Genomic DNA, 26951 nt, shown 5'->3' with positions numbered 1-26951 from the left:
AAAAGCTTGTTTGCAATTTGAATGAAGCTTTCTTATGCCAGTGTCATAAAAAGATCCCATTCCAGTGTAGCAAGTTCCAAATTGCAAATTTTTAGAAATGAATGTTCTCTATACATAAACAAGCACAAAGTTTACAGTTGTGTTAAGGAACACAATAATTTTTCAGCAAGTAAGAAAGCACTTTTCGGTGCTATTAAACAAAATACAAGCTGAATTTTGACAAAATCAAAATTGATCATTCTTACTTACTTGCTGCAGCTACCAGGCTACTAACAGTCATGGATAATAAGAGAATTTCACACTACTATAGCATGAATGTTCAAGGTAGAAATGAAGACTACTAATATGACTGGAAACCCTTTGGTCCTTTGTATTTAGTTTTTTAGTATGGAGTAAAAATATTTAAAGCACCTTGGTGACTACAGTGAACTGAGTCCATGTAGGGTTATATAAAATCCAAAGACTTGCCACTGTAAGTGCACAAAGTACATACTGTGTGCAAATATTCTTGCTGGCCAGGTGCAGTGGCTCACGCCTATAATCTCAGCACTTTGGGAACCCAAGGCAGGTAAATTGCTTGAGCCCAGCAGTTCAAGAGCAGCCTGAGCAACATGGTCAGGCTCCATATGTTAAACAAATTCAAAAACAGCCAGGCATGGTGGTACACAACTGTTGTCCCAACTACATGGGAGGCTGAGGTGGGAGGATCGCTGAGTCCAGGAGGTCGAAGCTACAGTAAGCCATGTTCACACCACTGAACTCTACCTGGGCAACAGGGTGAGACCCTGTCTCAATTTAAAAAAAAAAAAAAGAAAGAAAAAAGAAAAAGAAAATATTCTTGTTGTGTAATGTTTGGAGATAGTTTTAGGCCACCAGGCCATGATCAACATATTAAAGTCTTCTAGCCTGGTTTTGTTCATATGCTTAAATGGCTCATAATTCAATAAATTATTCTTGTTATATCCTTTCTCTGTTGTCCTTTCATCAATCCTGCGGGCAAAGGGAAGATACTCGATTACTGAGTTCTACCCCCTCTTTTTATGTCCTTCAGGTTCACAAATAAAACATCATTGATGACTGTAAGAAATTCTAAAAACTTTTTCCTTGGAGATGAAACTGTATTTGTTGCTTACATGTAGAAGTTCACAAGAGATAATTATGAAGTCCTATACTAAGGCTTTAAAAAATCAACTGCACTAGTTAACAATAAAATAAAAGCCTTTAAAAACATTCATGGGTTTCTATTTTTATAATATGTTGGAAAGATATTCAGAGAATCCTCTCTCAACTGAAAATTTTGAGTTAAACACACAGAAACTAAAACAGCATGAATCTACTGTAGTGGGTCATCATTGGAGATGACATTTGTTCTGGAATATGTGCTACTCAGTAGTGGCTGGAATCTTGGCTTTAGGGACCATAAGAGCAAAATCATTAGTTAAAGAGCTCACATTTGCATGGTTTGGGGTACAGTTTTCACATATTTTTGGATCACCAAGCCCCAAATTAATTATTTAGCTTCCTAGCTCTAGACATAGAAAGGGATCCCTAGAAGTATCTTTACAAGTTTACACATCTCCCTGTTTGTTGTTTGTAAAACATGTTTTTTAAAGTTGTAGTTTAACCCTGATGTTCACAGGCTGAAAAAAAGCTAAGCTGATTGATGACGTCTTCATACAGAGCTCAGAAAAGTCATGCCAGAGACATGAGGTCTATGTAGATTATTAAAGAACAACTGGAGCAAATTATTAGGAAAATGATATGTAAGGTATACCAAATGATACAGTCTTAACTCTTACACTTACAAGTTATTTTGCTAGTGCTACATTACAAATTAGTTGCTTTATGTTGTGAACATGCATCTTTACAGCCATCTCTAAATCATATTTCTGAATCATATTATGTTGTTGCAATCAAAATAAAATTGAGAATTACTACTAATAAAGTATATAATCACCACTAAGGCCTACTCATCTTCACCTATATACTAGTCTTGTGCAAAACAAAACAGCTTCTAGCTAAGATAAATGAAAATTTATTTGCATATTTCACCACTGCAAATAAGTAACAGGCCATTACTCTGTGTCTACAGTTGGTTACACACTAATCCTGTAATAATGAACAGTAATAATAGCTTTTTGCATTCTCATATTTATCTATACCAGATAGGTCATTTTACAGTTACAAAAGAAAGAATTAAGCAATCGTGTTTTATTGCTTTCAGTCATTAACACATTATCTCTCTCACACCTGCAAACATGGTGATTTTTGCTTGGATTTGTTTGTTTCTCCTTAAGGTTATATGTTTTTATATCTAGGTTTACTTATTCTATATTGTCATTTTTTTCCAAAACTTAATGACATAAAAAGATAACTTTGAAGTCGAGATAGAACTAGGCTTTCATTCCTAAGCAGTAAACTTACCCTTCTGATTACTTCCCCCTCACAGTTATTGGTTTCACTTTGCTTAGAGTTGCTTACTGTCCGAAGTACATTTGACTCTACTTTCTCCTTTCTTTTTCATATTCAATTTTCATCAAATACAACTGTGGAAGACACTACAATGCACTAATGATATATCTTTTCAGGAATGAGGAACTTACTCCCATAGCTACTGGATATAATGCTGGAAGATGGCCAACAGGTCAGCCCTCTTTATGCATTGCCTTGCTTGAAAAAAAAAATAAAAGCTTCACTCAAGGTCAAACCTCCTTCCACATGTAGCCCACTTTCAATGACTGATCAACACAGTACTGTGAAGGTCTAGTCTCTTTCTCCCAACTCGGGACAACTCTGAAGAGCCATCCCAGCTTCAGGAGCCTTAATGAGTTGGCTGAAGCCTTCAGTGGGCCTTCGCCAAAGCTCAGTTTCTACCTCTGCTAAACATACTTTCTTACCTTTTTTTCCCACAAGTGTTGCTCATAACAGTTTCCCTAATAAATGTCCTGCATTCTAACTTCCTCTCTCGGAATCTGATTTCCTGGAAACTCAACCTGTTACAGCATCATTTTCCCTCTTTATTTCTCTTGAAGCTGTCCCTCTGTTTCTTAATTCATTATCATTGCCTAGTTTGTTCTGCCCTAACTCTGATTTAGAATGGTCCATCTTCACTTTTGGTTCCATGGCCAAACAGGCATTTAAAACAAACCTCCACACAGGCACACTTGGAACATGATCGTAGATCACTGCAGGCTGCCTTGAAAATTCCAAATCCATCCAGTTCCCAACATTTCTTTCTACCAACAAACATACCAAATATAATATTGGTATAACATTAGTACATGCTGTCAGTGCCCTCACAAAAATCCCCCCTGCAGAGAGTTCCTATACACACCAGTGGTTTCCTACAACTCTGCCTGTGGGAACTCACTGTTACAGACCTCTGACCTAAGAGAAAGCTTTAATCAATTAGGGGTTAACAGATAAGTACTCCAACTCCCTTGCCCTTCAGTATGACAATTCTTTCTGAAGGTCCCAGTGAGGTCCCTCAGTTTTCAGCAGTAACCTGATAACTAGCTTGCTTACTTATTGGCTTTCTCCCTCCAGCATCTCACTTCCCCATTTACTTAGTGTGATTCTCCTGATCACCTCTCAGATTAACTACTTGCAATTAAACTCTTGCCTTAGGGTTTGCTTTTGGGAGTGGGTACACAGAACTGATTACCTTGGATATTGTCAAAGACCCCTAAATGATCTCCCAGATCTTACTGGCCTATCTCACCCCTCCTGTCTGTTTTTTATATTACCTCCAGATTTCCCTTTTTCAAACTCAGTTGACTCATACCTCTTGCCTCCTCAGCAATCTTCAATGGCTCCCAGTGCAATAAGTAAAACAAAACTCTGCCCTAAAATGTCTACCTGCATTGCTAATTGTATGTCACTCTGCACTCCCTACCTCACACATGCACTCCAAACACATCCATCTACTTTTTAATTTACAGAAACTGTCTTCTCTGTGTTTTCAATAAGGTTATTTCTCCTGCTGGAAAGTTTCCCCAACCCTCTGCCATATTCTTCAAGGTTCAGATCAAACCCACCATCCCCTGTGAAGCCCTCTCAGACCCCCATTGTTGGGATTAATATTTCCTTCCATCAGGCTCCCCAGTGCTATAATTAAACTTTAGATATATCAAAGCATACCTTCATTGAGATGATTTATGGATACCTGTTTCCACCACCAGATGTGAATTCTCAGGAAGAAGGAGCTACGTGATATTCATATTTAGATACAGTGGTAATATTCAAAATAATTAACAAAACTTTATCCCAATACTGACCAACCAGAAAGGACACCTGATCTAGGTCCTGCCTGATCTAGGTCCTGAGGCATCCTGATGCTTTATGTGTTAACACTTTAGGAGCTGCTAAATTGTTGGGAGGTTCCAAGAGTTCTGGGTGAGGGGCTGTGGTATCTGGACTGGCAAAAGTTATTTGATAGTGGAGCTCAAACAACTGAATATTTGCCAACATATAAGAAAAGATCAGTTGTTACAATATTTCAATAAGCAAAGCATAATTAGTTGAATGTCAGCTTTGTTCATAACTACTATGTTTATAAAGGCTTTCCAAATTATAGGTCTTTAGTAAATAATTATTATATAATCAATAACAGAATTGAAAATGAACACAAAATTTTAAAAAAGTATCTGATACATAACACACGTGCGTACACATGCATGCACCCATACATGGACACGGTTCTTTAACCAGCAAAAGCAGGAAAATTCTCATATGTGTGAAATTTTTATAATCTAGCTTTCTTTATATCACTTCAGATTAGTTAGCAGCTGTTCAGAAGCAATTGTATTTATACTGTTTAATCTATAGTTTAAGTCTTCCAATAGTAATATCAATAAAAATTAGAGCTAGGCTCCCTTTTACAGGCTGTTTTTTCCAAAGCATAATGGGACAACTAATTTAACTCTAAGGCACTGCCCTGGGAAGAGCTAACATGATCACGTCTTGTAAATATTTTTCAAAATTATGAAGCCTGTAAAATGGTTTGTATAGCCAGAAACATTAACCTAATTCATCCTCACTTAACAATGTATCCTGCGCTGCATTTAACTTCACCAAATATGTTCCAAATTTTTTCAAACCAACATGTTAATAGTCCATATCAAAATAGTAAAAATATGTATTGAAATATTGTGGTGCCACAAAAGCTGCTAAAACCAACAACAACAAAAAAGATTACACAAAGGAAAGGCCTGCCAAATCTAATTATTTAATTTTTCGTCAGTCTATTCCAATAACTTTAAGAGTTTGATTCACAGACCAGGGGCTTTGTGGTAGTTATAAACATTCCAAATTCAACAATGTTTCACAGTTTGTGGTTTCTTATGTGTTTCTTCTCATAAGTAGTAGAACTCACTGCTTCCTACAGAACAGGAAACTGAAATTGATTATGTTTTATCAAAACTAATTATACCAATTCTGAATGACTTGCTGCCTTTTACAAAAGACGAGTTAAAACTCTAAAATTAAGGAAAATATACCAACTACTAGGACTGTCAATGACAATTAAAATGAAAACTAAAACTTAAATTTCTTTAAATCAATTCACTTCTTATGGATTACCTAAAAAATAGTAAAATATGTTACTTTATTGAAATGTTTGGACTAGAGACATTATAGCTCAAACCTACCTATCAAATGAGGACTTATTAATGGGGTTTGTAAATCTAAACATCTCAAAAACAAGGGGAAGATTTCAGAAGATGCTAACAATTTTTGTTGTGTTGGCATTTGAGGTTAAGCACACTAGAAGCAGGGAATGGGGATTGGCAGCTGTTTCTTCCTACATAAATTCTATTACAGTGGTAATAATTGGATCATTGTGGTTGGCACTCTGAAATTTCCCTTCTGCTTTTTAATAGCATAGGCATCCAGTATGCTCTCTGCACTTTCTTCTTTGCAGCAGCTCACTATCGCTTCTATACTAGATATAAACCCTTCCCTCAAACACTTTGTTGAGGTAAGCAGGGATGTGAGGCTAGTACATCCAAGGAGCAGTAGATACCACTACATATGTAAGTGTAGAAAGAATATGTGTATATGTATATGCTTTCTACACTTCTAAAGTTGTATCCACTTACCTACATTATAATAATTTCCTCAACAGTATCCAACTACCATAGGGAATTTAATTTTCTCTCAAATAGGACAACTTATTCCTTTGATGAATCATAATCACTCAGTACTAGCTATTACTCTTCTATCACTTCTTACCCCTCTCCCTTCAAAAAGTAACAGGAACACCTCTCCCTCCGATTCCCATGTAAGTAATTCTGTTCTGGGACCATTGCGGAAATCTGCATAAATAAATACTTTATTACAGACAAGGGAAGATAAAGGAAAAAATTCACATATATCAAACCTTTAACTTATTTTTCATATATCAAGTAAGTGCATGTGAATGTTTTTATAATATCCAGTCCTGTAAATAAACATTCTCTTAAAATGTCATTGGGTTGATACGCGGGTATAAGTATTTGAAAGTATTTATCACATTTTAAATGTAAATACCCTTAATTAAATATTTTCATTTATAGAAATTTGTTCCACAAATAAATTTGAATAAATGGCCAAGATAATATAGCACTAGACATAAAATGTATGCATCAAAGCCCTGATTACTTAGAAAGCTAATGACTGAAATATAAAATTAAACTTTCTTCTGAGTCATTTAATAGAAAGTGGAAATACAAATTGCATTTCTATTTGTCTCATCATATTTCCATCTTAGCGTAGTAGGAAAATGACTAATATTTTATTAATGGATTTTATACCTTTCAATATACCACGTTTCCAAGGGCGCACATGAATCAGGTACAGAATTTCTTTATAAGGGTATACTGTAATTTGTGGATTTCCCCACACTATTGGAAGATCTGCAGTTACCTATAAGAGATAATTCAGAAACAAGAATTATGTAGTATCAACATAAAATAAGTACACTACACTACATGAAATTACTGTAACAAGTTAAAGCATAGAACAAACTGAAATTTAATTTAAATACCCCCAATAAAATCATTCACTTTTTTAAAAAACAGCAAGCCAGAAAAATTCTACATCCAGTAGAAGAGAAATCTAAGAACAAACCTATTTAAAAATGGAACAAAGGAAATTATTCTTACAAAACAAATGATGCTTATATTCTGTTGCTACTTATATCAAGATCATTGATGCTTAGAAAGTCTGAATAGCTCTCATCAACCATGCACAATTGTCTTTAGGCAGTTTGATATACAAAAGAGATGAATCATTTCAATAAATTTCTACATCAATATTAATAAAACAAATAAAAAATATTTAAGCAGCATTTGACCACACCCTGGCTAAACCCAACTTTCAGTTTACTGCGTGCTTATATCTTCCTACTTCCCACTGCTCAGGGAAACAATAATCTACTTTGTGTCTCTACATATGAGCCTGTTATGAACAATTATTAGTAATGAAATTAAACAGTACGATGTGGACTTTTGTCACTGACTTTTTTATTTAGCATACTTTTAAAAACTTTTTCATACTTTTAATGGATGAGAAATTGTATATAATGTACAACATGATGTTTTGATATATATATATATATACATTGTGAAATGGCTAAATCAAACTAATTAATCTATGCATTATCTCACATAGTTATCATTTTTGTGGTGAACAAAAAATCTATTCTCTCAGCTCTTTTCAAGAATACAGTACGTTGTTATAATTATCATAACCATGCTGTACACAAGCTCTAATAATTCTCTTGAACTTATTTCTTCTATCAAACTGAAATTTTGTGTCCTTTCATTCACATCTCTCCAACAACTCCCCCCATCAGCTCCTGATAACCACCATTCTACTCTCCACTTCCATGAACTGAACTTTTTTAGATTCCACATATAATTGAGATCATGCAATATTTGCTTTTCTGTGCCTGGCTTACTTCACTCAACATAATGGCTTCCAGGTTCATCCATGTCACAAATGACAGGATTTCCTTCTGTTTTAAGACTGAATAGTATTTCATTGCGTACATATCACATTTTCTTTATCCATTCATTTGTTGATGGACACAGGTTCAGTCCATATCTTGGCTATTGTGAATAATGCTGCAATGAACAACAAAGTGCAGATATTTCTTTGACATAGAGATTTCAAGTCTTTTGAATATATACCCAGCAGTAGAATTACAGAATCATATGATAGTTCTACTTTTAATTTTTGGAAGAAACTTCATAATGTTTATCGTAATGGCTGTACTAATTTACACTCCCACCAACAGTTTAAAAGGGTTTTCCTTTATCCACATCATCACCAACACTTGTTTTTGAATTTTCTTTTCTAGGAATCTTCAAACACTCCAGTAGTGTAGGGAAAGTCCATATATCGCCATGGACTCTGGTAATACAATTCCATATATTCTATGTTGGTGTATAATCATTTTTAAATGTTGTTGAATTCAGTTTTCTAATATTTTGTTGAGAGTATTTCGGCTATAATCCTAAGGAAAACTGATCTGTAGTTTTCATTTTCCATGATGCCTCTGTCTGGATTTATTATCTAGGTAATAATATTGATCTCAAAGTGGAAGTTAGAATATGTTTACTTATCTTTTATTTTTTAGAAGTGTTTGTGAAACATTAATATTAGTTCTTCAACTGTGAGTAAAATCCACTATTAAAGCCATCTAAGACTGTGTTTTCTTTGTGGGAAGTCTTACAAATGCTAATTCTCTACTTGTTGTAGGTGCATCATATTTCTATTCCTTCTTGAGTCAGCTCAGTAGTTTTTGTAACTCTATATATTGGTCAGTTTTTTTCCAAATTATCAAATTTATGGGCATACAGGTTTTCTTAGTATTTATCTCTAATTATTATTTCTTCAGGTAGATAGTGGTGTCTCCATATTCATTTCTTAATTCAGTAGTTTGAGTATTCTCTCTTTTTCTGTCAGTCAAGGTAAATTAGCTTATTTACTGACCTTTTCAAATAACTAACTTTTGTTTTTATTGGTTTTCTCTATTGATTTATTTTCCATATCATTTTATTTCACTCTACTCTCTCTTACTGCCTCTTTGTGCTTGCCTTGTCTTTCATTTGCTTGTTTTTCTAGTTACTTAAGATACAAAGTTAGGTAACTGACTTAACATCTTTCTTCTTTTTTTACTACAGGTATGCACATCTACAAATTTCCCTTTAAGCACTGCTTCAGGTGCACCTCCTAAATTTTGGTCAATTATGTCTTCATTTTCACTCATCTCATATCATTTTCTAATTTCCCTTGTGATTTCTTCTTTGACTTATTGGTTATTTAGGAGTATGTTGTTTTAAATTCCGCATATTCAAGGATTTCCCAAATTTATTTCCATTTTTGACTTCTAATTTAATTCCGTGGTTGTCAAAAATCATACTGTACATGATTACCTCGCTTTTAAATTTATTAAGGTTTATTTTATGCTATAAGACATAGTCTATCTGGGAGAATATTCCATGTATGCTTGAGAAGAATATTTATTCTGCTGTTATTACATGGAATGTTCCACAGATGTCTATTAGATCTCATTGATTTTTGCAAGTCTTCTATATCTATGTTGATCTACTGGCTAGTTAATTACCCATTATTGACAGTGGGATATTTAAACCTCCAACTAACATTGTTGTTTCTGACTTCTTAAATTCTGTTGGTTTTGCTTCATGTCTTTTCAGGCTCTGTTGTTGTGTGTGTGTGTGTGTGTGTGTGTGTGATATAATATGTGATATTTTTAAAATACTTTTCTATGCTTTCTTTATGTTATAATAAAATTATATTATATATCAAATATATCATAATATATAATATAATATAATATATAATATGTTATAATATATATACACACATATTATAAAGAAAGCATAGAAAAATATTTTTTCTAAAGCATAGAAAAATATTTTATGTTAATACTACATAATTCTTGTTTTTGAATTATCTTTTATAGGTAACTGTAGATCTTCTGATAGTGTGTATAATATAATACATAATACATATATGATATATAATACATAATAAATATAATACATAATAAATATAATACATAATACATATATGATATGTGTATAATATATGATAATATATATACACACATACATATACATGTATATACTTATAATTGGTATATATTCCTGATAGATTGACACTTTTATCTTTATAAAATGTCTCTTCATATGCAGTAATAATTTTATGTCTCAAGTCATTTGATTTCTGAAATACTCCAGCCACTTTGGCTCTATTTTAGAAACTATGTTCATGGTATATGTTTTACTTTCAAACTATTTTTGTCATTTTATTTAAAATGGGTCTAATATAAGCAGCCTAAAGTTGAACTTTTCTTTAAAAATACATTCTTCCAATTTCTGACATTTGAGTGTTTAGACAATTTATATATAATGCAGACAAGAAAACTGAAATCTGCCATTTTCCTATTATCTATATATCTTATGTCACCTTTGTTCCTGTAATCTTCCATTACTGTCAGATTTTGAGTAAAATATTTTCTAATGTGTCACTTAAATTCCTTTTCGTATATTTTACTCTATTTTTGAGTTATTTTCTAAGATGTCTTGGGTTTTATAACTAGCATCTTATTTTGAAACAATTTGCTTTGTAATAATTCTAACTTAATTTCAGTAGCATACAGAAATATTTTTCCAGTATGCACCTATCCTTCTAGTCTTCCTGTATGTTACTACATTCATACCAATTACATCTTTACACATTTTAAGCCTGCCAAGATATTTATATAATTATTAATTTTTAAGTTTTTTAATAATTTCAATTTTTATTTTAGATACAGGGGTTACTTGTACAGGTTTGTTACATGGGTATATTGCATGATGCTGAGGTTTAGGTTATGGATCTTGTCACTCAAGTAGTAGGCACAGCACCTAATAGGTAGCTTTTCAACACATGCCCCCTCCTTCCCTTCCTCATCTAATAGTTTGTGTATCTATTGTTCCTATCTCTATGTCCATGTGTATTCAAAGTTTAGCTGCCACCTGTAAGTGACAAATTGCAGTATTTGGTTTTCTGTTACTGCATTACTTTGTTTGGAATTCTAGACTCCAGCTACAACCACGTTGCTGCAAAGAACATGATGCTGTTCCTTTTTATGAATGTATAGTATTCCATGGTATATATGTACTACATTTTCTCTATCCAATCCACCACTGATGGGCACCTGGGTAGCTTCCAAGTCTTTGCTACTGTGAATAGTACTGCAATGAACATATGAGTTCATGTGTCTTTTTGGTAGAGTGATTTGTTTTCTTTTGGGTATATACCTAATAATGAAATTGCTGGGTTGAATGGTAGCTCAGTTTACGTTATTTTAAAAATCTCCAAAATGCTACCCAAAGTGGCTGAACCAATTTACATTCCCAACAACAGTGTATAAGCATTCCCTTTTCTCTCAGCCACTCCAACATCTGTTATTATTTGACTTTTTAATAACAGCCGTTCTGACTAGTGTGAGATGGTGATATGGTTTTGCTGTGTCCCCACCCAAAATCTCATCTTCAATTGTAATCCCCATAATCCCCATAATCCCCACGTATCAAAACCGGGACCAGGTGGAGATAACTGGATCACGAGGGTGGTTTCCCATGCTGTTCTCATGACAGCGAGTGAATTCTCATGAGATCTTATGGTTTTACAAGCATCTGGCATTTCCCCTGCTTGTTCCTCTCCCTCCCACCACCCTGTGAAGAGGTGTCTTCTGCCATGATTGTAAGCTTCCTGAGGCCTCTCAAGCCATGCAGAACTGTGAGTCAATTAAACTTATTTCATTTATAAATTACCCAGCCTTGGGCAGTTCTTTATAGCAGTGGACTAATACAGACGGTATGCCATTTTGGTTTTGGTTTGTGTTTCTCTGATGATTAGTGATGATGAGCATTTTTTCATATGTTTGTTGGACATTTGTATGTCTTCTTTTCAGAAGGGTTTATTCACGTCCTGTGCAAATTTTTAACAGGCTTATTTCTTTTAAGCTTGCTGATTTAAGTTCCTTATAGATTCTGGGTTTTAGACCTTTGTTGGATGAACAGATTGTGAATATTTTCTACCATTCTGTAGGATGTCTTTGTTTTGTTGATAATTTATTTTGCTATGCAGATACTCTTTAATTTAATTAGATCCTTAATAAAATTTTTGATTTGTTGCAATTTACTTTTGGGTACTTAGTCATAATTTCCTTGCCAAGGCTGATGTTGAGAAAGGTGCTCAAGCTAATAAAATCCAGGATTTTAATAGTTTGAGGTCCTACCTTTAAATTGTTCATCAATCTTGAGTTAATTTTTGTATACAGTGAAAGATAGGGATCCAGTTTCATTCTTCTGCATATGGATAGACAGTTATCTCAGCACCATTTATTGAATAGGAAGTCCTTTTACTATTGCTTGTTTTTGTAGGGTTTTTTGAAGATCAGATGATCGTAGGTGTGTGGCTTTATTTCTGGGTTTTCTACTCTGTTCCATTGGTCTATGTGTTTGTTTTTGCATCAGTACTATGCTGTGTTGGTTACTGTACCCTTAGAGCGTGTTTCACATTTTCCTTTGCAGAGATCTTCTACCTCCTTGCTTAGCTGTCTTCCTGGATATTTTAACTTTTTGTGGCTATGGTAAATTGGAATGTGTTCTTGATTTGGGTCTCAGCTTGAACATTGCTGGTGGATAGAAATGCTACTGATGTTCATACTTCTATTTGTTTATCCTAAAACTCTATTAAAGTTTTTTTATCATTTCTTGGAGCCATTTGGCAGTCTTTAGAGTTTTCTAGGTGTAGAACCATATTGTCTGCAAAAAGACATAGTTTAAGTTCTTCTTTTGTCATTTGGATGCCTTTTATTTCTTTCTTTTGCCTGATAGCTCTGTTTAGATCTTCCACTACTATGTTAAACAGGAGTGGTGAAATTTGGCATCCTTGGCTTTTTCTAGTACTCAAGGTGAATGCTTCCAGCTTTTGCTCTTTCATTATGATTTTGGCTGTGGGTCTGTCATAGATGGATTTTTTGATACCTAGTCTCTTGAAGGTGTTTCCCATGAAGAGATGCTGGATTTTATCAAAAGCTTTTTCTGCATCTATTAAGATGACCAAATGATTTTTGCTTTCAATTCTTATAATGAGTGAATGACATTTATTGATTTGTGTATGTTGAACCAGACTTACATGCCAGGAGTAATGCTTGCTTGATCCTGGTGTATTGACTTTTTAATGTGCTTCTGCATTTGGTTTGCTATTATTTTTTTGAGGATTTTTGTGTGTACTTTCATCAGGGATATCGGCCTCAAGTTATCCTTTTTTGTTGTGTCTCTGCCAGATTTTGGCATCAGGTTAATGCTGGATTTATATAATGAGTTAGGGAGAAGCCCCTCCTCAATTTTTTGGAATAGTTTCAGTAGGATTGGTACCAGTGATATAATTTGGCTGTGAATCTATCTGGTCCAGGGCTTTTTTGGTTGGTAGGGGTTTTTATTACTGATTCAATTTTGGAACATGTTATTAGTCTGTTCAGGTCTTCACATTCTGGTTTTATCTTGGCAGGTTGTGTGTTTCCAGTAATTTATCAATTTCCTTTAGATTTTTAAATTTGTCTGCATAGAGTTGATGATAATAGTCTCTGAGGATCTTTTGTATTTCCGTGGGATCCACTGCAATGTCTTCATCATTTACAATTGTTCTTATTTGCATCTTCTTTTCTTTACTCTTGTGTTAATCTAGCTAGTGCACTTTCTATCTTGTTTATTTTTTTAAGAGCCAACACTTGATTTTATTGATCCTTTGTATGGATTTATGTGTCTCAGTATCATTTAGTTCTTCTCTAATTTTAATTCTTTCTTTTATAATACTAGCTTTGGGGTTGGTCTGTTATTTTTTTCTAGTTTCACTGGGTGCAAAGTTAAATTGTTAATTTGAGCTTTTTCTAACTTCTTTATGAAGGCTTTTAGTGCTGTAAACTTTTCTCTTAACATCGCTTTAGCTGTATCCCAGAGATTTTTATAAGTTATGCCTCAAGTTTTATTAGTTTCAAATAATGTTTGATTTCTGGTTTAATTTTTAACTTTACCCAGCAGTTACTCAGGCGCAAGTTATTTAATTTTCATGTATGTGTGTGGTTTTGAGAAATCTTCTTGATATTAATTTTTATTACTATTGCACTGTGATCTGAGAATGTGCTGGGCATGAGTTTTGTTTTGTTTTTTAACGTATTGAGTCTTGCTTTAATTACTGAACATGTGGTCAATCTTAAAATATGTTCTATGCACAGATGAAAAGAAAGTATTTTCTGTGATTGTTTGGTGGACCATTGTATAGCTTTCTATTAGGTCCAATTAGACAAGTGTGAAGTTTAAGTTCAGGACTTCTTTGAAGTTCAGGACTTCTTTCTAAATTTTCTGACTTGATGATCTGTCTAATGCTGTCAGTGGGGCGTTGAAGTCTCCCACTATTATTATGTGGCTGTCTATGTCTTTGGAACATCAAGAACTTGTTTCATGAATCTGGATGCTCGAATATTGAATATATATATATATATATATATATATATATATATATATATACACACACATATAATAGTTAAGTTTTTTGTTGACTTGCACCCTTTATCATAATGTAATGCCTTTTTTTGTTCTTCTTAATTGTTGTTGGTTTAAACTCTATTTTATCTGATATAAGAATAGAGACTTGTACTCTTTTTTCTTTTTGTTTTGCATGTAAATCCTTTTCCATCCTTTTTACTTTGAGCCTGTGGGTATTGTTACATGTGAGACGGGTCTCTTGAAGACAGCAGTCAATTGGGTCTTGTCATTTAATCTAGCCTTCCATTCTGTGTTTTGTAAGTGGGGTTTTTAGTCCAATTACATTTAGGGTCAGTACTGATATGTGAAATTTTGATACTATCATCATGTTGTTAGCTGGTAATTATGAAGCCTTGGTTGCACAGTTGTTTTATAATGTCTATGGGCTATGTGCTTAAGTGTGTTTTTGTGGAAGCAGGTGTCCTTTCAATTCTATGTTTAGCACTCCCTAAAGGACTTCTTGTCAGTCTCATCTAGTAGTAACAAATTCCCTCAGCATTTGATTATCTGAGAAAGATTTTATCTCTCCACTTATGAAGCTTTGTTGGGTGGGACATAAAATTCTTGGTTGGAATTTCCTTTCATTAAGGATGTAGAAAATAGCCCACCACTACCACCAATTTCTTCTGGTTTGTAAGGTTTCTGCTGAAGGATCTATTGGTAGACGATCAGGTGTCCTTTCTATGTGCCCTAACCTTTCACTTTACCTGCCTTTAGGACTTTTTCTTTCACATTGACCTTGGTGAATGTGATGAGCATGTGCCTTTGGGATAGTTGTCTTGTATAGTATCTAGCCAGGGTTCTCTGTATTTCTTTAATTTGCTTGTCAACCTCTCTAGCAAGATTAGGGAAATTTTCATGGACTATATCCTCAAATATATTTTCCATGTTGCTTACTTTCTCTCCTTCTCTCACGAATGCCAATGAGTCACAAGCTTTGTCTCTTTATATAATCTAATTTTTATCAGAGGTTTTGTTCAACTTTTAAAATTCTTTTTACTTTATTTTTGTCTGACTGAGTTGACTCAAAGAACATCTTTGAGCTATGAACTTCTTTCCTCAGCTTGGTCTATTCTGCTGTTAATACCTCCATTTGCATTATGAAATTCTTGTAGTAAATTTCTCAGTTCCAGACGTTCAGTTTGGTTTTTTTCTTAAAATGGTTATTTCACTTTTCAGCTCCTTGGATCATTTTATTGGATCATTTTATTGGATTCCTTGCATTGGGTTTCAACTTTCTCCTGAATGTCGTCAAGTTTCCTTGCCCTCCAGATTCTGAATTCTATTTCTGTAATTTCAGTCATTTCAGTCTGGTTAAGAACCATTCCTGGAGACCTAGTGGGCTCATTTGGAGGTAAGAAGACGCTCTGGTTTTCGAATTGCCAAAGTTCTTGCATTGATTCTTTCTTATCTGGGAGGGTTGGTTTTCCTTTAACTGTGGTGTAATTTGGGTATAGTCAGTTTGCTTTGTTTGTGGATGTTTTCAGAAACAATATTTATTTGAGGCTGAATTCTTGCCCTTGGTTTCACAGGGGTGTATGTTAGCAGAATATTTTGGGGGCTGTCTTTTGGGCTGTGATCCAGTAGATGGTGCTTAAGAATAATGACTGGTAGATAAGCTCTTACACAGCCACGTGACTCTTTTTCTCATGTTTGCATGTGTGCTCTGTGGTGGGAGAGGGTGGGGAAGAGATGACACTCTCACCAGGTCGATTTCTGGGCCTTAGAGGAGCCCCATTTGATTACTGGCACTGCACCCACATTTCTTTTGTTAGGCGTTCCAGGCCAGGGGGCTCACTTGGGCAGAGGCTGCAGCAGGCAGGTAGGCCACACTGTTTCTAGACTGGCCTTGCAGAGAAAGGAATGTCCCACTCCCACACCAGCTGATGGACTAATGTGTCTCACTGTTCTCAGTGCTCTAAGACTGGGGGCTCCTCTTCAACTTGAGTGCTGGCCAAAGATATTGGCTCAGTACTCCTGAGCTGCATGATGCAACCCTAAGGCATCATGACAGGCCCACAGCTAGGGGTCAGGCTCCAGCTGCTCTCAGGGATCTGAAGTGCTCCCAGGTTGCCAGGAAAGTACTCAGTTGGAGCAAAGCACTCAGCCTGGAGAGTGTAGGCTGTATTGTGCACACACTTCTGTGGGGCAGCCAGGCAGGTGCCCTGGGAGATGCTGGCTAGCAGTAGGGCGTACAGAATAAATGTGCCCCAGTTCCATCTGGAAGCTGCCCTTGCTCTCTCTTGGCCTGGCAGTCAGCTGGGGCTAGAGCTTCTAGAAGGGAGATGGGGATCCCTGGGGCCTGGACACTTACGGCTGCACTCCAACAGAGCTGCTTCATGCAGGAAAGCCCCTGGCTCCATGTTAGCTGAAGTCCTGTCTCTGCCTACTTTCTGAAAACATCTCTTTCTCAGCTCAAACATCCATGGGGACATGGAGTCCTCTGTAGCTGGTATCCTAAAGGTCTGCAGTGAGAATAAGCTGTACCTTAGTTCCTTCACTCTTCCCTTCCCCAGAAGTTGTTTGGGGCCAGGAACTATCTCTAGCACTCAGGTACCCCATGTAGGGTTTCCAGCTTCCTCCTCCTTCAGCCTCAGAGTCTGAGTTGCCTCTCAATCCACTCTCGGTGTTTTCCCTCTGAAGATCTGCTCTAATTATGTTGGCTTACTGGATATTTTTGTCTCTATCAATGGGAACAGCAGTTCTTGGCTGTGTCTATTTGGCCGTATTGTCCCCCTCCCCATTTTTTCTTTTAAATGACCTAGAAGGAAAAGCAGTTACATCTAGCATATATTTATGTTGTATATTCTATTCACCTATACAGTAATTTTTTTGATGCTGTTTTTAAGTTGGTTGAGCTTTTTGGATATGTGGTTTAAAGTTTAATAAAATCTGGGGCTTTTTTGGCCTTTATTTCTTTGAAAACTATTTCTTTTCCATTATATTTCTCTTCTGTAGAACTACTGTAAGTCATACATTGGTATGCTTGATGCTGTTCCATGTATATCTAAAGTTCTGTTCATTTTTCTTTATTTTTTCCTCTTCCCCAGACTAGACAATCTGTATTGACTCATATTAAAGTTTGATGATTATTTCTTCTGCCAGCTTACATCTACTGTTGAGGCTGTATAATTAATAATTCTCATTGTACTCGTCAACACCAGAATGTTGGTCTTTTTCATTATTTTTATAACTATATTTATATGATATATTTATTGAAACATCATTGTCATACTTTTCATTAATTCTTTAGATGGGATTTCTTTTAGTTCATTGCATATACTTACAAAGGCTTATTTAAAGTCTTAGTCTAGTAATTCAACGTGTAGGTCCCCTTAGAGACAGCTTCTAACAATTGCTTATTTTTTGTGCATTGGTCATACTTTCCTGTTTCTTTGCTTCCTTGTCCTTTTGCTTCATCTCATAATTAATTTCTTATTGAAAACTACTTTTTATGTAAGGTAATATAGCCACTTTGGAAATCAGATCATCCCCTCCTAATGGTTTGTTTTCATTGTTCTTGTTTTTGTTGTTTTGTTCTTTTATGGTTTAGTGACTTTTCTGAACTAATTCTGTAAAGTCTGTATTCATTATAGTATGTGCCCACTGAAGCTCTATTTAGTTGGCTTAGCGGTCAGCAGTAATTTGCCACAGGTTTCTATAAACGGTGAAAGAACCAATAAATCTTCTATCCTTTGACAAGGAGTACTGTATATGTGTTGTTGTATACTTTAAGTACTCAAGTAGTTTAAAACTCTGATTTAGCCTTAATTTTCAGCTCTCACAGTGTCTGTATCAGCCAGAGGTGAAAAATTAGGACTCTCTCAGGCATGTACACAATCTTGAACATCCGTGCGGCCTGCTTGTTTCCCAGGAATATACCAGAGATTCTAAAATCCCCTAAGGGCATCTTATATTCCAGATCTTCCTTTCAAGTTTTTAGCCAATCTCTTATTAGCTGCTATTGTTATTGCAGCCTCAGACAACTGCAATGTTAAACCATTGCTGCTAAATATTTTTGACAAATGCTCTAAGGATAGGACCTATCCATCAGAGCAAACTCTGAGACAAGTCAAATAATGATAATGCCTTCCTAGTGGGATGCTGCTAGCAAACTTGGAAAAAGGTCAAATAGTAATCCATACACTGTCTCTTCTTTTGACTGCAAAGCTGCTGGTTTTCATAGTTACTACAGTTGCAAGACTGCAGAGCTAAAGAGAGAGGGATAAGAATAATTCAAGTTAAAATGCCACAAACCATCCTGCTCTTTCCAGAATTCCGAGTTTTTCTTAAATATATACTTCTTAGATTATTTCAAGTCTTTAATTTCAAGATCACTGAAAAATTCGATTTTGACAATTTTTGCCAGTGTTTTCATTGCTTTTCTTTAAAAAATGAATTTACAAACCTTCTTGCTTCACCTTCGTGGAAGTCCCACATCTCTTGTCTTCTTTATTATATAATTATTTTCTACTACTTTGTTAATTTGATAAAATTCTATAGCATTTTACCTATATCTCATTTATGTTCTCTAGTTTTTAGTTTCTCTTTCATGTTAAAGAGGTCTCAACCTTCAGCAATCAAATGAAATGTATATTAAAAAGCTTTTTAAAAATACAAAGCATCATAAAAATAGTTACTAGCACCAATGAAAAATTGAACAAGGAAAACATTTAAAAGAACATGCTGAGTCTAGTCTATAGTAACAGATTATCAAAGTGGAGTGGTATAGCAAGGAGTTGAAAATGAAGGGCTGGAGCTTACATGTACATCTTGAATAAAAGTATGAATTTGGTATTTGTATTTAGATGATAGCCTGAAGCCAGGAAACTGCCAAGTGGGAGGTCATACAGAAATAAGGATGCTTTTGATGCGTGAAACTTGAAATCAGAAGGTTAGAGGAATAAACGGACCAGATAAGTAATAATCAAGGTTTGATTATCACTTGATAATCCAATGTTAAGGAATTAATGTCAAGGAAACAAGAAATGTAGAATAATATAAAATAAAGGGTGAATAACATTAAGAAGGTAGGTCAACAGTGTCAAACTTCACATGTTACTGGCCCTTGAGTTCACAGAGGTCACAGCAGAGGAAACAATCAATGAAATGTAAGGCAACCTAAGGAATGGACAAAATATTCGCAAATTACATAGGTGATATGAGGATAATAGATAAAATGTATTAGTCTATTTTCATGCTGCTGATAAAGACACACCCAAGACTGGGTAATTTATAAAGAAAAAGATTTTTAATGGACACACAGCTCCATGTGGCTGGGGAGGCGTCACTATCATGGTGGAAGGCAAAAGACATGTCTTACATGGCAATAAGCCAGAGAGAACATGTGCAGGGGAACTTCCCTTTATAAAACCATCAGATCTCATGAGACTTATTCATTATCACGAGAACAGCATGGGAAAAATCCACCCACATGATTCAATTACCTCCCACCAGGTCCCACCCATGACACATGGGAATTATGGGAGCTACAATTCAAGATGAGATTTGGGTGGGGACACAACCAAACCATATCATAAAATATAAGGAAAACACAACTCAACAGAAAAAAAAAGACATTAAAATCCAGATATCCCTATAAAAAAATGGGCAAAGGACTAGGTTTTGATTTTGAAGGTAAGAGATGGCACTGAATAATTTTACTCGGACATGAGAAGATAAGAGTTTCATTTAGAATATTAATTCCATTTGCAATCTAGCAAAAAAAAAGAAGAGGAAAACCAAGGCACATATTTATCAGGGTTACAAAAAAAGCAAAGAGTAAACCCAGAGAATTTACAAACTTCTGTAGTCCCCTCTAAAATTGAATTCAGGCACCTATAATGGGTAGATATTTGAAGCTTCTTTTGAGGATCCTATTGAGCAAATAACTATTTGTGGGTAATTGTAGGAGTGAGTGGAAAATGTTATTTAAAGATTGGTTTAAACAAACCAAGTGAGGATGACAGAGTATAATGCTTCATAAAAAATAAGGATATAGGCCAGGCGCAGTGGCTCATGCCTGTAATCCCAGCACTTTGGGAGGCCAAGGTGGGTGGATAACTTGAGCCCAGGAGTTTGATACCAGCCTGGCCAACATGGTAAAACCCCATCTCTACAAAAAATATAGAAAGTAGCTGGGCGTGGTGGCACATGCCTATAATCCCAGCTACTTGGGAGGCTGAGACACAAGAAACACTTGAACCCAGGAGGTGGAGGTTGCAGTGAGCCGAGATCATACCACTGGCCTCCAACCTGAGCAACAGACAAAAAATAAAATAAAATAAAATAAAATAAATAAAACCTAAAACAAAAAATAAATAAGTAAAAGGGTGTAAACAATTATGCATTCCTTAATATTTCCACCATTATTTACACTGGTAAATGATAGGCTACACTTCTGAAATTTTGTTTTGCTTACAGATTTCACATTAAAATTTTAAAAGATGTTTCTAAATATTTTTGAAAACACCATTTATTATCATGTACAATTTTTTCAATGAAAAGCACATGACTCAAATAAGTAGATTTTAATGTGCTTTATAGTTATATACATATAAGACTTATTTCATCCTAATTCAACTTTATAATTGAAATGATATTTAAAAGCTGTTGGACTAATAATAGGTAGGATTGTAGACATCTTATGTGACATTGCTTCAACTGATTAAGTAAAACTAAATGTTTAAAAAATTGTTTGTAATTATTATATTTCATGTGATTCACTATATTCAGAAAAAAACACTTTCACACTAAAAATAAATTCTTACCTTAAATGTTAGGGCAGTATTTGTGAAATGAGGCAATGTTATATGCTTTTGTGTCACATTCCCCACTTGACATTCCACAGTGATGTGTTCCAAGGCCGAAGGTTTTTTCCCAACCCCTTTTATGTCAAAGATGTGCTCCCTACCATCTACTTCATTTTGTAGAATAAGTTTACCCTATGAGAAACCAGACAAATTTCAGGTCTATAGGAGTCATAGATAAATGTTAAACAACCTCTGCTATCTTATTCTTCTTGTGTCTGATTAATAAAAAGAGCTTGTAGAGAGGTGTTAGCCATTGACTTTTTCAATACACAAATAACTGCTTCTACAAAACACATAAAGACAAATTTCTGGTGAAAAGTCATTTATTTCTGATTACCCTTGCTAAATTACAGAGTGTATATAGGTATTTTCATACACAGCAATTATATGCATGTCTACTTCCATGTAAAAGAAATATTGTCTTAAGAAAGTATTTTCTGATACACCAATTTCTTTAATGAATAGGAAGGAAAAGTAATTATCTTACTTTGTTCAGCATGTTGTACAAAATTAATTTGAATGCTAGTATTCACAGACAAAAATATTGTTATGTTCATGATGTTTATGCCTCAAATTAAAACATGTATTAAAGTTTTAAGTAAAAATAGTCAAATTCATGGAAAATATTAACTTTTCTACTAAACAGTTGTACTATCAATTAAAAGACTAATGTCATACATTAGTTTATTAACTAATGATACTATTAATTAATACTGGGGAAAATATCAAGGAGTTCATACCGTAATGACACATTCAAAAATAGGTTTGAATGTGAGAGGATACTCCACAATTTCATCTGGTCCAACATGTAAATCAACAGGTCCATAAAACCATTCTCCTTCTATAGTAACTTGAAAGGTCCATTTATCGTTTGTTTGATTTTTCTAAAGCATGAAAAAGGTACAGAAATATCAGAGAGATGATATTGATGAAATTGAATTACATATGAATTCTTGGTAATTTCTATAGCATTATATATTGTATTTTTAATTGTATTTCCAAGGAATCACCAGTGGAAAGTCATATTTGTTAAGAATAAATATCGATGTGCTGGAGCCAAGATGGCCGAATAGGAACAGCTCCGGTCTACAGCTCCTAGCGTGAGCGATGCAGAAGACGGGTGATTTCTGCATTTCCATCTGAGGTACCGGGTTCATCTCACTAGGGAGTGCCAGACAGTGGGCACAGGACAGTGGGTGCAGCGCACCGTGTGTGAGCCGAAGCAGGGCGAGGCATTGCCTCACTCGGGAAGCACAAGAGGTCAGGGAGTTCCCTTTCCTAGTCAAAGAAAGGGATGACAGACGGCACCTGGAAAATCGGGTCACTCCCACCTCAATACTGCGCTTTTCCACAGGCTTAAAAAAATGGCGCACCAGGAGATTATATCCCCCACCTGGCTCGGAGGGTCCTACGCCCACGGAGTCTCGCTGATTGCTAGCACAACAGTCTGAGATCAGACTGCAAGGCAGCAGCGAGGCTGGGGGAGGGGCGCCTGCCATTGCCCAGGCTTGTTTAGGTAAACAAAGCAGCTGGGAAGCTTGAACTGGGTGGAGCCCACCGCAGCTCAAGGGGGCCTGCCTGCCTCTGTATGCTCCACCTCTGGGGGCAGGGCACAGACAAACAAAAAGACAGCAGTAACCTCTGCAGACTTAAATGTCCCTGTCTGACAGCTTTGAAGAGAGCAGTGGTTCTCCCAGCACACACCTGGAGATCTGAGAACGGGCAGACTACCTCCTCAAGTGCGTCCCTGACCCCTGACCCCCGAGCAGCCTAACTTAGAGGCACCCGCCAGTAGGGGCAGACTGACACCTCACACGGCCGGGTACTCCTCTGAGGCAAAACTTCCAGAGGAACGATCAGACAGCAGCATTCGCAGTTCACGAAAATCCACTGTTCTGCAGCCACCGCTGCTGGTACCCAGGCAAACAGGGTCTGGAGTGGACCTCTAGCAAACTCCAACAGACCTGCAGCTGAGGCTCCTGTCTCTTAGAAGGAAAACTAACAAACAGAAAGGACATCCACACCAAAAACCCATCTGTACCTCACCATCATCAAAGGCCAAAAGTAGATAAAACCACAAAGATGGGGAAAAAACAGAGCAGAAAAACTGGAAACTCTAAAAAGCAGAGCACCTCTCCTCCTCCAAAGGAACGCAGCTCCTCACCAGCAATGGAACAAAGCTGGATGGAGAATGACTTTGACGAGTTGAGAGAAGAAGGCCTCAGATGATCAAACTATTCCGAGCTACAGGAGGAAATTCAAACCAAAGGCAAAGAAGTTGAAAACTTTGAAAAAAATTTAAACGAATGTAAAACTAGAAAAACCAATACAGAGAAGTGCTTAAAGGAGCTGATGGAGCTGAAAGCCAAGGCTTGAGAACTACGTGAAGAATGGAGAAGCCTCAGGAGCCGATGCGATCAACTGGAAGAAAGGGTGTCAGTGATGGAAGATGAAATGAATGAAATGAAGAGAGAAGGGAAGTTTAGAGAAAAAAGAATAAAAAGAAATGAACAAAGCCTCCAAGAAATATGGGACTATGTGAAAAGACCAAATCTACATCTGATTGGTGTACCTGAAAGTGACGGGGAGAATGGAACCAAGTTGGAAAACACTCTGCAGGATATTATCCAGGAGAACTTCCCCAATCTAGCAAGGCAGGCCAACATTCAGATTCAGGAAATACAGAGAACGCCACAAAGATACTCCTCGAGAAGAGCAACTCCAAGACACATAATTGTCAGATTCACCAAAGTTGAAATGAAGGAAAAAATGTTAAGGGCAGCCAGAGAGAAAGGTCGGTTACCCACAAAGGGAAACCCATCAGACTAACAGTGGATCTCTCGGTAGAAACTCTACAAGCCAGAAGAGAGTGGGGGCCAATATTCAACATTCTTAAAGAAAAAGAATTTTCAACCCAAAATTTCATATCCAGCCAAACTAAGCTTCATAAGTGAAGGAGAAATAAAATCCTTTACAGACAAGCAAATGCTGAGAGATTTTGTCACCACCAGGCCTGCCCTAAAAGAGCTCCTGAAGGAAGCGCTAAACATGGAAAGGAACAACCGGTACCAGCCACTGCAAAATCATGCCAAATTGTAAAGACCGTCAAGGCTAGGAAGAAACTGCATCAACTAACCAGCAAAATAACCAGCTAACATCATAATGACAGGATCAAATTCACACATAACAATATTAACCTTAAATGTAAATGGACTAAATGCTCCAATTAAAACACACTGACTGGCAAATTGGATAAAGAGTCAAGACCCATCAGTGTGCTGTATTCAGGAAACCCATCTCACGGGCAGAGACACACATAGGCTCAAAATAAAAGGATGGAGGAAGATCTACCAAGCCAATGGAAAACAAAAAAAGGCAGGGGTTGCAATCCTAGTCTCTGATAAAACAGACTTTAAACCAACAAAGATCAAAAGAGACAAAGAAGCCATTACATAATGGTAAAGGGATCAATTCAACAAGAAGAGCTAACTATCCTAAATATATATGCACCCAATACAGGAGCAACCAGATTCATAAAGCCAGTCCTGAGTGACCTACAAAGAGAATTAGACTCCCACACAATAATAATGGGAGACTTTAACACCCCACTCTCAACATTAGACAGATCTACGAGACAGAAGATTAACAAGGATATCCAGGACTTGAACTCAGCTCTGCACCAAGCAGACCTAATAGACATCTACAGAACTCTCCACCCCAAATCAACAGAATATACATTCTTCTCAGCACCACACAACACCTATTCCAAAATTGACCACATACTTGGAAGTAAAGCTCTCCTCAGCAAATGTAAAAGAACAGAAATTATAACAAACTGTCTCTCAGACCACAGTGCAATCAAACTAGAACTCAGGATTAAGAAACTCACTCAAAACCACTCAATTACATGGAAACTGAACAACCTGCTCCTGAATGACTACTGGATACATAACGAAATGAAGGCAGAAATAAAGATGTTCTTTGAAACCAATAAGAACAAAGACACAACATACCAGAATCTCTGGGACACATTTAAAGCAGTGTGTAGAGGGAAATTTATAGCACTAAATGCCCACAAGAGAAAGCAGGAAAGATCTAAAATTGACACCCTAACACCACAATTAAAAGAACTAGAAAAGCAAGAGCAAACACATTCAAAAGCTAGCAGAAGGCAAGAAATAACTAAAATCAGAGCAGAACTGAAGGAAATAGAGACACAAAAAAACCCTTTAAAAAATTAATGAATCCAGGAGCTGGTTTTTTGAAAGGATCAACAAAATTGATAGACCACTAGCAAGACTAATAAAGAAAAACAGAGAGAAGAATCAAATAGACGCAATAAAAAATGATAAAGGGGATATCACCACCAATCCCACAGAAATACAAACTACCATCAGAGAATACTACAAACACCTCTACGCAAATAAACTAGAAAGTCTAGAAGAAATGGATAAATTCCTTGACACATACACTCTCCCAAGACTAAACCAGGAAGAAGTTGAATCCCTGAATAGACCGATAACAGGCTCTGAAATTGTGGCAATAATCAATAGCTTACCAACCAAAAAGAGTCCAGGACCAGATGGATTCACAGCCGAATTCTACCAGAGGTACAAGGAGGAACTGGTACCATTCCTTCTAAAACTATTCCAATCAATAGAAAAAGAGGGAATCCTCCCTAACTCATTTTATGATGCCGGCATCATCCTGATACCAAAGCCGGGCAGAGACACAACCAAAAAGGAGAATTTTAGACCAATATCCTTGATGAACATTGATGCAAAAATCCTCAATAAAATACTAGCAAACCGAATCCAGCAGCACATCAAAAAGCCTATCCACCATGATCAAGTGGGCTTCATCCCTGGGATGCAAGGCTGGTTCAATATACGCAAATCAATAAATGTAATCCAGCATATAAGCAGAACCAAAGACAAAAACCACATGATTATCTCAATAGATGCAGAAAAGGCCTTTGACAAAATTCAACAATCCTTCATGCTAAAAACTCTCAATAAATTAGGTATTGATGGGATGTATCTCAAAATAATAAGAGCTATCTATGACAAATCCACAGCCAATATCATACTGAATGGGCAAAAACTGGAAGCATTCCCTTTGAAAACTGGCACAAGACAGGGATGCCCTCTCTCACCACTCCTATTCAACATAGTGATGGAAGTTCTGGCCAGGGCAGTCAGGCAGGAGAAGGAAATAAAGGGTATTCAATTAGGAAAAGAGGAAGTCAAATTGTCCCTGTTTGCAGATGACATGATTGTATACGTAGAAAACCCCATTGTCTCGGCCCAAAATCTCCTTAAGCTGATAAGCAACTTCAGCAAAGTCTCAGGATACAAAATCAATGTACAAAAATCACAAGCATTCTTATACACCAATAACAGACAAACAGAGAGCCAAATCATGAGTGAACTCCCATTCACAATTGCTTCAAAGAGAATAAAATACCTAGGAATCCAACTTACAAGGGATGTGAAGGACCTCTTCAAGGAGAACTACAAACCACTGCTCAAGG

At 36.1% G+C, this 26951-nt stretch overlaps 1 protein-coding gene across 2 annotated transcripts in view; it reads right to left on the bottom strand.

Annotated features, from left to right (window-relative positions):
* The window catches only part of CFAP47 (cilia and flagella associated protein 47), a 465584-nt gene that overhangs the window by 127082 nt on the left and 311551 nt on the right, over nucleotides 1-26951 (bottom strand). For both annotated transcript variants that reach the window (NM_001304548.2, XM_017029452.2), the window contains exons 47-49: nucleotides 22159-22302; nucleotides 21377-21550; nucleotides 6792-6903 (exon numbers count right to left, since the gene is read on the bottom strand). In NM_001304548.2, coding sequence (NP_001291477.1) covers nucleotides 6792-6903; nucleotides 21377-21550; nucleotides 22159-22302 — 430 coding nt within the window. The remainder of the gene's footprint in view (nucleotides 1-6791; nucleotides 6904-21376; nucleotides 21551-22158; nucleotides 22303-26951) is intronic.

Source organism: Homo sapiens, chromosome X, assembly GCF_000001405.40.
Source record: "Homo sapiens chromosome X, GRCh38.p14 Primary Assembly".
NCBI lineage: Eukaryota > Metazoa > Chordata > Mammalia > Primates > Hominidae > Homo > Homo sapiens.
Note: the sequence above shows the minus strand (reverse complement) of the source record. Positions and strands in the feature narration are given on the sequence as shown.